The 13,130-nt window shown below is 44.3% G+C and overlaps 1 protein-coding gene across 20 annotated transcripts in view, besides 1 other annotated feature; it reads left to right on the top strand.

Moving 5' to 3' along the window:
* Positions 1 to 3,862: 3,862 nt before the first annotated feature.
* The window catches only part of ERC2 (ELKS/RAB6-interacting/CAST family member 2), a 960,157-nt gene continuing 950,889 nt past the window's right edge, over positions 3,863 to 13,130 (top strand). For all 20 annotated transcript variants that reach the window (NR_132749.2, XM_017006156.2, XM_047447950.1 and 17 more), the window contains exon 1: positions 3,863 to 4,082. The gene's annotated coding sequence lies outside the window, so the exon portion shown is untranslated. The remainder of the gene's footprint in view (positions 4,083 to 13,130) is intronic.
* Positions 4,915 to 5,209: an enhancer, noted in NCBI's record as "tiled region #10072; HepG2 Activating DNase matched - State 4:PromP, and K562 Activating non-DNase unmatched - State 21:Repr". NCBI's record gives its function as "activates a minimal TATA promoter and a strong SV40 promoter by Sharpr-MPRA in HepG2 and K562 cells {active_cell/tissue: HepG2 | K562}" and the evidence as "EXISTENCE:reporter gene assay evidence [ECO:0000049][PMID:27701403]".

Genomic DNA, 13,130 nt, shown 5'->3' with positions numbered 1-13,130 from the left:
CTTCTTGGGTTAGAATTTCAGCCCTGCGATGACTTAGCTGTGTGGCCCTGGTAAATTACCTTACCTAGAGGTGCCTCAGTGCCTTTGTTGGTAAAATAGGTGTAATAATGGTATATTTTAGGTCAATTGCGAGGAATAAGTCAGTTAATGCACACAAAGAGCTTAGAACAGGGCCTCGCACATAGTACTGATTTTGTCTAATTGGTATTTGTTCTTTGTTGCTGTTACTATATTCAAAATGAATGCAAAAAACCCAAAGAAACAAAAACAAAACCAACACAGGTTGTTGTTTTATGACCCTGCATCATTGTGCAAGAAGAACAGTTGTTTCCAACCTGTGCTCAGTTCCAAGGCCACTTGGCTCTCATATTCCCACACTGGCAGGCTTGTGAGGGTTGACAATCATAGGAAAACTGATTGGGCATTACGGTGCTTTTATATATAGTCATGCTTTTTCACTGTAGAGCTTAACTTTTTCTATTTGGTTCAAAAAATATGTACGGGTACAGAGTTTTTCTTTTGCTTCAGGGTTTGATATGGCTTGGCTCAGCCCCAAGTAAAGCTGATAGAACTGGCTGATGGTGTAAACGTGTGGTATAAGCAAAAGGAAGAATTAATGATACTCCTAGGTTTGGACCTGAGCAACAGGATGATTGGTGATGTCATTATCCTGATGGGTGACCTTGGGAGAGAGGAGACTTGGTGCATAAAAATCAAGTTTGAGATACTGGTGGGTTAAATACTCACACTGGGGAAGTCAAATAAGCAGGTAGATATCCAAGGCCTTTAGGTCTTTAGAAATCTCATTTCTGTCTACATGGCTGGCTGTTCTCCTCTTTACAGACCAACTTCCTTGGCAAGGATCTTAGAACTTACTTCCTGATGACTTTGGCATCATGGTTTTTGGTGCCATTGTTCTAATTTGGGCCACCACAGTCTACAATCTCACCATTCAATGCCAGCTGACTGACTCATTCTTCAAGCTCAGTTTGAAATACTGGAAGGAGAGCCTGTCATGGCTCATCCAGGGGCAGGTGTCCACCACAGCTCCCATCTATGATAGCTGCCACTCCAGGCTGAGCACACCATAGGGCAGCAAAGTTGGATGTGGCAGCAAATTTGACATTTCCTCAGGAAAACTTTTTCTGAACCCCAGGGGAACAGTTGGTTATCCTTCCTGCATGTTCCTGCAGTTCCCAGAACTTTGTCCCTTCATAGGCAGTATTGTTATTGCCTGCTTCTTGTCTGTCTCCATCACTAAACTGTACAGTCCTTGAGGCAGGGGCTCTGAACCCACAGGACCTAGGAGAAAGTAGATGCTCAATAAGTATTTGTTGAATGAATGAATGAATATGTGAGAAAAAAATATCTGCCATGAAAGTATGCTCTCTCTGACTTGCTTGAAAAGAGCTTGTGAAGATGAAGAAAGACATCAATAACTGTCAAAACAATACAAACCAAACCAAACCACCACGACAACAAAAAACCCTGGAGCAACAGACCATGTTTTAGAAAATATAATATGTTTTAGAATTTTCTGTCCTGAAGGGTTAGATCTCACAATGGCTACTTGTTAGCATATTGCGAGGGTGTGTTTGTTTGTGTGTGTGTGTGTTTGTGTATGTATTTGTGTACCTATACACACATATATGTGTATTTTAACCTAAAGTTAGAAAATGTTAGAGTTGAGAGCAATCTTAAGATTCTTTAGTTCCGCTTTTTATTTTCAGAAAACTAAGTCCCAGAGAGGATAAAGATGACTTGCTTAAGATTCCTATAACTTCCACTCTTCGTTTTACTATGTAGAGTCACTTTCTATTTAAAGTAATTATTCTTAACTTTTCTGGGTCAAGGACCCAATTTGAAAGAAATCTGTTGAGAACCATGAATCTTCTCTCTGTGGGAAAAATGTACATAAGCATGTACATAATAAATTGATCCCCTGAATGTCAAGGGTTCCTTTTAAAACCCACGGATCAAAGGAAAAGAGAATGGGTGGCCAACCAGAGTGAACCTCAGGCATTGATTTAAATAAATTCTTCATGGGATCACCCTGGTATGTTACCCAACTTTTCTGAAAGTTGGTAAACATCTTATAGAATATTTGTGAGAATAGTTGAGAAAATGTAAGTGCCTGCACAGAGGGGGGTACTAAAAAATGTTGGCCACGTTTCAAAAGATGTGGGATTTTAGGAATTCTCAAAGGACTCTCAACAAGGCTCTCATATACAACAAGCCTTTTGAGCAGAGGCTGTCAAGGATGTATGTGGGGAACAAAACACAATAGGTGGAGCTTGGTTTTGCCCCTGGAGCATCTAGGTCAGGAGAATGAGTGTTGATTTCTCAGAGAGAGAAAGAAGAGGATGAGGGCAAAGAGAGTCTATGAAAAACCTTAGCTACCAGAGGTGTACAGGCTTAAGGAACAGGCATTTGGGCTGGAACAGGAAGGCATCCTTGTCTCTCAGAGTCTGATTCCCTGAGCAGGAATCATTTAATATTTGAATTCCGGCGGGGCGCGGTGGCTCACGCCTGTAACGCCAGCACTTTGAGAAGCTTGAGGTCAGCGGATCATTTGAGGTCAGGAGTTCAAGACCAGCCTGGCCAAGATGGTGAAATCCCGTCTGTACTAAAAATACAAAAATTAGCTGGGCGTGGTGATGGACTCCTGTAATCCCAGCTGCTCAGGTGGCTGAAGCAGGGAATTGCTTGAACCCAGGAGGCAGAGGTTGCAGTGAGCTGAGATGGCACCACTGCACTCCAGCCTGGGAGAAAGAGCAAGACTCTGTCTCCAAAAAAAAAAAAAAAAAAATTGAATTCCTATCGGGGAGGAAAGAAGGATCCATCCTCTAATCGCTGTACTAATTCTATGCCTCTGCGCACCCAAACATCCCATGGCTGGATTTGCTTTATTTGTCTGAGCTTCCCAGCAGGAGAAATTTAGATCTGGCCACTGAAATTGCTGGAAGCAGACTCATCAGGACAGGAAGGAAATGACTGCTCTATCCCTGCAAATTGACTACTCAGTGAAAGAGACCAAGTTTAAAGATGCCCATGGCTATCCCAGTACCCTCCCTAATATAAAATGGCAGCAGCTGGGGCTCCAGACTTGTTGAGTGGAAGCTTTTTCCAATGAAAAACTTGTCCAAATCCTCTTGCTCATTACCTTGAGGTGTGTGTGTGTATCTGCCTGTGTGCGCGCGTATCAACTCAGACATCATCTTTCTACCTTAAATTGGGACAATGCAAGCACATTTCAGGGCACAGAAGAGGCACCCAGTGAATATGACGGATGCGATCTTTTCTCTTGTTCCTGTCTTTATCTTTCATTCTGTCCTTTCTTTGGGGGAACAATAAAGTGAAGATCTTATGAAATTCTTTCAACCTCCTAAGGAACATTAAAGCTGATGGACGGTGCCAGGGTATGGTAACCACGACCCCTTACTCCAATGCTTAACTTAAAAGATAAGTGCCATCCCTGCCCCTGTCACCAAAGCCACCTGACAAGTTCCCAGTGTGCCTGGCAGCTTTTGGAGGGGGGTACCCGGGAAGGGGCGTCGGGGATGGAAGATTGGGGACAGGTGCTTCGCGCCGCGGCCTGCCGGGAGGAGGCGCTGCGAAGACCCCCGCCCATGCCGGGCGCTTTCTGCTGCCCCCAGCGGAGGCGCCCGGGCCCCAGCCCCGTCCCCCCTAGCGGCTCCTCGGGAATGCTGGGAATGTGAGTCAGGGCCTCTGCGAGCGGGCGAGCGTGCCGGCCGGCCGGGTGGGGGCCCCGCCGAGCGCAGCGCCTGGCAGCGCCGCGCGAGCGCGCGTCTCGGGACTGCGGCGGGTGCCGCCCCCTCGGCCGCCGGCCCCGCCCGGCCCCGCGCCTGGCCCTGGCCCTCCGAGCAGTGTCCTCCTCCTTCCCTTCTTTCCTCCCTCCCTGTTCCCCGCCCCGCTTCTCCTCCTCTTCCTCCGCCTCCCGCTCCTGCTCGCTCGGTCTCCGGCTCCGGCGCCGGCTCCTGCTCCTCCTGGCCGCCCGGGGCCAAGGCGACGAGAGGTTGTAAAAATCCATGTGGGACGGCCCCGGGGCGAGCATCGGAAAGGTGAGACGCCGACGCCGGGGCCGGGGCCGCCTGGTGCCCGGCTCCCTCGGGGCGCCCGTGCCCGGGCATTCCTCGTGCCGGGTCCCCCTCGCTCGTGGGGAGCTGCAATGCGTTATCGTGGGGAGCCTAAGGGTGAACCATCCGCCTCCTACGGGGCTTTCTTGGGCGGGGGGAGGGATGGGGCGGCCTAAGGGAGGCTTTGCCCTGATGTATAAACCCCCGGATTGGAACAAGTGCACGGTTTCCTCCAGCGCGCGGGCGCCGCTCGCTAGCCCCGGCTGCCCGGGCCACCTCCCGCAGTCCCTCTCCGGCAGCCACCCTCACTGCCATCGCCTTTCTTCTCTCAGATCCCCCTCTTCTGCCTGGCGTCCCCTCTTGCCTCGAGGGGTGGGGTGTTCGCGGGGTCGGGGGTCTTGAGCAATCCTAAGCAGAACAAAGTGGAGAAAGGTGGAGCCCCCGCCCGGGGGTGGGGTGGCTGGCCGCCTGGGTGGGTTCAGAGGGGAGCATATTTTTTTTTAAAAAACCCGTGTCAGGGAAAATGAAGCCGATTTATCGGGGAGGGCTAGGGGATGGTGTATGAAAAGGAATACGATGTGAAATTGAACTGAACGGCATCCCTTCTCTCCTCCTCCCCATCTCCTAATTATACAAAAAAAGGGATACTTACGAAGGTGTACCTAATTAAAAAAAATACCGTACGAGCCTTTGAAAGATCGTCTTAGGACAGTGAAGATTAAGAGCTGCTTTGGTTCGGGGTAATAAAATAGCGCTCGTAAACTCTCCGTTCGGCCCTGCCTTATTTATTTTGTACTTAAGGGTCTCTGTTCTCCTTGCCAGAGAGGGAGGGTCCGCTCTTTTAGGAGTGGATCGATTTTAGGCGGCTACCTGCCTTTGCTGTATGAAAGGCAATTTACTCCCCGAGCGGTGAATTGTCGGTTCCCTCTGTGATTGACAGCCACACCTGCCACTTACGTGGGTAGAATGGGGACCGGTGGAACCCAAAGAACCAATCAATGCTCGGGAGAGGAGGGCAGCTCCCACTTGTCATGGTTAGTTTCCTGGTTGGCTCTTTAAATCAGTGATTTTACTTAACCATTGGTTTCCACCTGGTATGGGGATACAGCTGTGAGAGGCAGACAAGCGGGAAGAAAACTCTTTGAAAATGGACTTTTAGAAGCAAGTATATTTGACCTGTGTTTCCTTGTCCTCCCCATCCCTTACCCACCACCCCCCTGATTATTAGTTGTAGTAGTTGCGGATGCCGAGGCCACTGGCTTAAAAATGAAAATGAATCTGTGTAAAGAAGGAATTGGGGGAGGGGGTGTTAGAATTGCCCACCTATTTCTCCAGAATTGCAGTCTTTATAAGAGACAACATGTACCGTTGAGCTATCCGGGAAAAGGGTGTGGCACTTTGTCTCCTATGGTCACTCTTGTCCTTGTAAAGTCACATTGTTTCTCAGTATACAGTACTTGGGGCTTGGCTCTACTGGATGGATTTATAAGGTATTTTTGGAGCCGGCAAACGTTCTTTATGGGGAGTCACATGAATAGAAGGGATTCTTTTAGTTCTGACAGTTAACTCAACTTCTGGAAGTGAGGGCTGCCTTGTTCTCTTTTGCAGAATGTCAGTTCGGTGGTGGTGGGGTCAAGCCATTTTCTTTCCGGGGAGTAGTAGAGTTTGCCTTTTTCTCATGTAAGCCATCTTGTCTGTTTGCTTCTGTGCTTTAATAAAATACTTTTACAGTTTTGGCAGGGAGGGGTGTGGAAGGTGATGGTGTCATGGTTTTCACCAGCAAGACTTTCACGGGTGGATGAATCATGGGTGAAGGACCAGATCCATCTCAACTCACTACTAGTGAAAGCCTGATTTTTCAACACCCTTCTCCCTGAATTCATTAGAAAAATTACTGATTGATCCAAAGAGCTGTCACTTTATAGAAGTTGTACCTGGATGTGAACATAATTCTGTGAATTAAGCCTTTCATAAACAGACTGTGAGCCAGAATATACTGATTAGAATGGTTTTCATGTAGAAGCCGGGTTTGTCAAAGCAGTATTATTACTATTACTATCATCATCATTGTTATTGCATAGGCAAGCACTTTGTTGAGTACTTTATATGCATTATCTTTTTTAAACCTTGTGGAGCCCCTGTGAGGTAGGTACTATTCTTACGCCCAAATTATAGATGAGTAACTAGAAGGAATTCAGTATCTTGCCACAGTTTAGTATGAAAGCAAGAACCTGAGCCCGGGTTCGTCTTACCCAGAGCCCATGACCTTGGCCGTGGCCTTGACTTCAAATTTTGGTTGTGTAGTCTGCATGTGTCCAGTCTGAAGTGTGGGTTCTCCCAGCATACGTAGAGCTAACCATTTTAAGAGTCCACTGTGATTCTGACAGTCCTTTTATCAGCCTGTTTTGCCTTTGCATTTGAAGGCTGTGGCATGGGCCAATAGGCAAATTTAGTAACTCTGTTTATTATATATTTCCAGTAGAAACATAATAAAATATAAAAAATATAACACATAATAAAATAAAAATTTTGGCTCGATAAAAATTTGGTTCCAAACTTAATGATGATGACTTAAAAGAAGGTAAAACAAAACAAAATTCACACTCTTCCATTTTTCTTGACACCTTAAATTTCCAATTAGAGTTTTAAATAGATCTTGGTTGAATAAATGCTCTTAACATCCTTCAGTTGTCTCCCCACCAAGGGATTAGGGTTTTATTTTCTTTGTTATTTACAGAGACCCTTTTCCATTAGTGATTAGGTATAATGATATTTAAAATTATTCTTTTGTAATAGCATGACCGTCTTGTTTTATTTTATTTTTTATTGTTTTTTGAAATGGAGTCTTGCTCTGTCACCAGGCTGGAGTGCAGTGGCGTGATCTTGGCTCACTGCAATCTCTGCCTCCCGGGTTCAAGTGATTCTCCTGCCTCAGCCTCCCAAGTAGCTGGGATTACAGGTGCCCGCCACCATGCCTCTCTAATTTTTGTATTTTTAGTACAGACTGGGTTTCACCATGTTGGCCAGGCTGGTCTTGAACTCCTGACCTCAGGTGATCCTCCTGCCTTGGCCTCCCAAAGTGCTGGCATTACAGGTGTGAACCACCATGACCGGCCCCTCTTGTTTTGTTATGTTGGAAAAGCTACAAGATGTAAGCCTTATCAGTCTCTTCCCATTGGTGAAACTCAGTGGTGAAGGTTTGCCAAAACAGGTATCCTGAAAAATAAGGTGAATGGTATTGCAGTCCACAAATTTACCTAAAGAGTCTTTGACTTTGGTTAGGTTGACTTTTGTACAATCTGCATTTGCTTGTTTTACTAGGACACCCTCTAGCCTTTTTTTTTTTCTTTTTTCTTTTTTTAAAATCCTCTAACCAGTTAACATTTTGGCTGGTCCGTGGGGCATCTACTTGCCAGCCAACAGTTTCAGTTTCAGCAATGTTTACACTATTCCTTTATATTTTATTGTGATTTTCTTAGTTTAGAAAGATAGGATGAATGGAAAGCACAGAAAAGCACCAATATTCATGGTAATGTAGATCTCATAAATTTAAAATAGTTGATCCAAAGGTAGAACTCACTGGATGTACAAAACATGGAGACTCTACAACCTCTTCTTCTTATGTGAAGAAAAGGAACAAAATGAATGAAGATATAAGACATGCTAACATATATCAAATGATAAGATATATTAGTCAGCTTTGGCAGTGTAACAAAACTCCCTGACTTACAGCAACAGGTATTTATTTTCACACTCATGGGTCTTCAGGTTGACCGTGATTTGGCTGGTATAGGTTGGGCTCCTTGGGGTGGCTGTGTAGAGGCTGTGGGTTGGGTTCCAGTCTCCTCCACATGTGTCCTGGGGCCCAGGCTGAAGGGATGGCAGCTACCTGGGGCATGCTTTTCTCCTGGCAGATCACTGGAGCCAAGAGGCAAACTACACGAGCAAATGTCACTTTCACTAATAACCTGTTTTGGAAAAGTACTATTTTGGACAACACTTGTCTGTAAACGTAGACTCTGTTCACAGTAAGGGAGCGAATATTTGATGAACTATCATCCAGCTTCCAACAGCATGTAAAAATTATGGTTAGAGGATTTTCTAATTTTTTCTTTTTCTTGGGGAATGCAATTTTCATCCCCTCACTCCCATTGCTAGCTGCGTGACATATAAACCTGGTCCTTAACTTCTGCATTTCAGGAATATTCTCTGTTTGATTTTAGAGGGCTGGCTATAAAACAGGTTTGTGTATACACATGAATTACTTAAATTATTAAGGCACTATTTATTAGAACCTACTGTGTTCCAAGAGACAATGTTCAGTGCAGTGGTGAACACAGTTTTATTCTGATGTGGGTCCTGCCACCATGAAACTTATCATTAGGAATAGGTGTAAGGAAGGACTTCTTGGATGCAATGGCATTTTCCTGGACCTTAAAGCAGGGAGAGAGTTGGAGATGCAGATAGAGCAATGGATACCATAAAAATGTAGGGGCACACATGGATATAATGAGTTATTCCACTTGGCCAGAGAGTAAGAAAGGTGAATTACAACAACAATAATAATTATAACACTAGTATTTATAGCTTAACTTCTATTGGGCAGTTAACTATGTGTTAGGCACTGTGCTTAGCACTTTCCATAAGATATTTAATATTGGGTAGGCTTGCTGGTTGCCTACCCAACATTCATTTTCTCCTTTCCAACTAAAAGAACCCCAATTTTGTCTGAGATGGAAATAAGCCCACCTCACCTTCCCAAGACTCCCTTGGACTTAGAGTGGCCATGAGAGTTGGGTCTGATAATGGCATAGGTGGAAGTTTTTGGGTGGAGGCTTTCCTGAAAATGTAGTGAGTGAGACACACGTGGGTGGTATACTCCAAGAACTTTTCAGCTCTTTAACTTCTTGCTGCTGAGATCATTGGTGCAATGCCTGGAGGGGCAGCAGCCAACTACAACAATGAAGATAAAGCCATGGTTTTTGTTTTTTTTTGTTTGCTTTTGAGACAGGGCCTCACTCTGTCACCCAGGCTGGAGTGCAGTGGCACCGATCTCAGCTCACTGCAGCCTTGACTTCCCCGGCTCAAGTGATTCTCCCACCTCAGTCTTCCCAGTAGCTGGAACTACAGGTGCGCACTACCATGCCTGGCTGATTTTTGTATACTTTTGTAAAGATGAGATTTCCCCATGTTGCCCAGGCTGGTCTTGAACTCCCGAGCTCAAGTGATCTGCCTGCCTTGGCCTCCCAAAGTGCTGGGATTAGAGGTGTGAGCCACCATGCCCAGCCAAAATCGTGTCTTACAAATGGCAAAGCTGGAGCCTGGAAGGATCTTGGTCTTGGTGACATCGTTCATTCATAGTACCAGCTTAGACTGCCTTCCCCTGTAGTTCTTATTGCATAAAACTAAAAAGCTCTTTACTTGTAAGCCACTACTTATTACTTGCAGCCGCACATACTCCTCACTGATACATACCTTCTCAAGAAAACCCTCAAAGTAGGTGCTATCACCTATTTTGCAGGTGAGAACATTAAAACTTAGAGGGGTTAAGGACTTGCCCAACCAGTAAGTAGAAGCATTGGGGGTTCAAAACAACATCATTTTGACTTTCAGGATCATCATCTTGCCTCTGGCTGTGCAGGACAAGTACCATAGTGGAGATAATGTTGGAAAATTAGGCTGGATTAAGATTTAGGAGGCATCTGGATTCCTGGTTGAAATATTTGAGTTTGATTTCATGGGCTAGTGAGTATAAAGCCATTGAAAAAGACAGAGACCAGAGGTTGGGAGACCACTGAGGCTTGAGTGCATGACATACATGCTTTAGTACGAGTGAAGGTGGAGGGAAAACTGGGCATGAAACAGAGCTGGGGACATGAGAAGATAATGGAATTGAGTGAACCCAAATCATAGTTGCTGTTAACCTATGATCATCTGAGAGCAAAATGAAAGTCTCCTGAAGGCTAGTATTCACTTCTACTGATGGCTTCACATTTGCCCAGAAGTAGGGAATGAGTAATGTAGAGAATTGCTAATGAGATATGAATCACTATTTCATGCTGTGGGGTGGGGTCTTCTACTCATTGTCAATACCATTTATTGAGCCCTTGACGACCTTGTATTAAATGACTTTGGTCTGGGTCTGGCTCCACTGTGCCAGTTAAAGGTAGCAGAGATGAAGGGTAAGGTCAGAAGGTGCTGCAGTGGTACATTAGATTCTGTCCATGGACTTATTTCTGCTAAACATTCTAGACCTTCCTTGAGGGGTAGATTGGGGTTACTTTAACTGTCTGTGTCTCCTTTTTTTCTTCTCTTTACTTTTTAAATTTGTAAAATAAAGGATTTGGTTTACATTCATAGTTTTCAAATGTTTTTCAGCTGTTAAAACTTTGTTTCCTAAATAAAAATTTATCTGGACCCTCAGTATATTTATAGAAAGCAGAGCTGTTCTGGAAATTTAGGGTCCAGATTTATGTTGTATGAAGTGTCTTTATGTTGAGGCCACTGCTCTAAAATGACACCTACACACCCTTCCTGGTTCATGATTATGTGAATCTTATAGCTGTTCAGATGTTTTATTTGTGCATCATCTTTAACAAATCCCTTTGTTATTCCACAGGTTGTGTCTTAATATCATCTGTGGTAGAGACTGTTAATGTTCCCCATAGCCACTTTTTCTTTCCTTCCAGGCATATGTTGGAGGTGGCTTGCATCACTTCCATGCTAGAATATTTGATTTCCAGTGTGAGAGCACCCAGTGCCCTCTTCTACTGCAATGATTACGGAAATGTGTGTTGAGATGGAGCCCTTCATCTGCCTGGGCCTTTCAGTCACTAAATGAACACAGCTTCCCGTCAACTGGAGTTGGACATATAGACCAAGAAGTAAACTTTGGTTGTTTTAAGCCATGAAGAGTTTTGTGATTTTTGGTTTCTGCAGCACTTTTCTGCTTATCTTTACTGATACACCATCTTTGAGCACATCTGCTAAACTTTATGTAACTTACTTTTTGGGTGCCTTCTGGATTAACCTGAAGCCTGGCCAGCTTGTCCTTACTTTGTAGTTAGGAAAAGAGTGGGCTGGCATCTACATCCGCTGTCCGTGCTGGTCTCTGTGCTAATAGATTCTTTGAATTGAAAGCTTTATGCTCAATAACATTTGTTTTCATGCTTAAAAAGTTCCTGAAGACATATTGTATAGTGCACCTCACTGTTCTTTAAAAAAAAAAAAAAAGCCTTTATGCCATCTTGCTTTTTTTTTTTTTTTTTGTATTTTTAGTAGAGACGGGGTTTCACCGTGTTAGCCAGGATGGTCTTGATCTCGTGACCCCGTGATCCGCCCGCCTCGGCCTCCCAAAGTGCTAGGATTACAGGCGTGAGCCACCACGCTAGGCCGCCATGTTGCTTTTTCAAGTATAGAATCTCTGTGGCTTAGAGAGGAATAATGACTATAAGTTACCATAACAATGGCTGTTATTAAGTAGTGATTGATTTGTGAAGTATTTATTGAGTATCTACTTTGTGTTAGGCACTGGGGGTACAGAGATGAACAACAGATAGTTCCTTACTACTTGGAGCTAATACTCCAGTTGGAAGTGATGGATACGTTTGCTCTGTTATATGAAGAGCACCATTTATTGAGCATTTACTATGTGGTAGGCACTGTGCTAGGTGCTTTATATTGCTCATTTCATATTACCTATACAGGTAAATGTATTATCCCATTTTATAGGTGAGGAAACTGAGACTCAAATAATTTGATAAGTTCCATAAAGGCAGGAGCTTTGCCTTTGGCTGTATCCCTAGTGCCTAGATGTTCTGTAAGTATTTGTCAAATGACTGAAGGAACAGAAAAACTTGCTCAGAGTTAATGCTGTGGCAGAGCCAGAGTTTGAATCCACCTCTGCCTTACTCTCAAGGCTGCTAAATTATCACTAGAGAAAGTAGAAACAATGAGTGGCCCCACAATTACAACAGAAACAACCAACAAGCCTTAACCATTGTCAATGCCAAAAGCACCAGGAGCTCTAAGCTGTCTCACTTTCACAGCCAGGGCCGAGCCTTCTTTGTGATTTTCTGCTCATTCTTTCAGCTGGGGAAGTCCAAGGCCACTACATCACTGACTTAATTGTTAATATAATTGGTTACCCTTCTCTTGGGCCAGTTCATCTGCTACTCCAGCCTAATTTCTTCAGCACTTGGCTGGCCAATTCCCAGGGCGTGCCTCAAAGTTCTGCTCTTAACCTCTTGGGCATTACTTCTCCACTTACATCTTCCAGATTTGTTGCTTTGAAGTTGCATTTCCTCTGTTCTTGAACTCATGTTGACTCTGCCAAGCAGAGTTCGCTTGGTCAGAGCCCAGGAATCTCTAGTTGCTGGCACCTAATCAGCACTCAACAAAATTAAAAAGAGAGAGAGTGCGTGTGCATGGAAGAAGAGAAGAAAATAAATAAAGGCAGGAAGAACCTTCAGGAAGGAACTAAGTGGTTATTTTTTCCTGGAAGTCAATGGTGAGATTATAGCCCCACTGGATGAAGAGTTGGAAGGGCATCTGTGAGATATACCTGAAAACCAAAGGCCAGCCGCAATGTTCATAGACATCTTATACCAGCAACTTAGTTTTGCTATGGTTTATTTTTCAGAGTCTACATTTTGCTCACTTAATTATCCTGTGTGAGTGTGTGTGTGTGTGTGTGTGTGTGTGTGGTCTGATAGCATTAGCTCTCTTTTCCTGTCTTAATACTTTCCACCCCTAAAGGTAGTTGTCATTCTGTGATTTCAGGGCATGAATGAGTTGCAGGCAGCAAAGTGCATTTACCCTAAATGCATTAGGAGCAAACTATTAATTCAAGGCAACTTCTTAGTGGGTCAGAAGACAAGAGCTTGAATGGGAATTGAGCAATGTGACTGTTCTTTAAGAATATGCTCAGATCCTTATGCAAACCGTGAAAGATTTCTGCTAAATGGTATGACTAATTGCAGTAAGAAAGAGCAGGGTTTCCTATAAGAAATTGAACCTAGTTGTGCACTGTGG

This window comes from Homo sapiens, chromosome 3 (assembly GCF_000001405.40).
Source record: "Homo sapiens chromosome 3, GRCh38.p14 Primary Assembly".
Taxonomy (NCBI): Eukaryota; Metazoa; Chordata; class Mammalia; order Primates; family Hominidae; genus Homo; species Homo sapiens.
The sequence above is the reverse complement of the archived record's forward strand: the minus strand, read 5'-3'. Positions and strand labels throughout refer to the sequence as shown.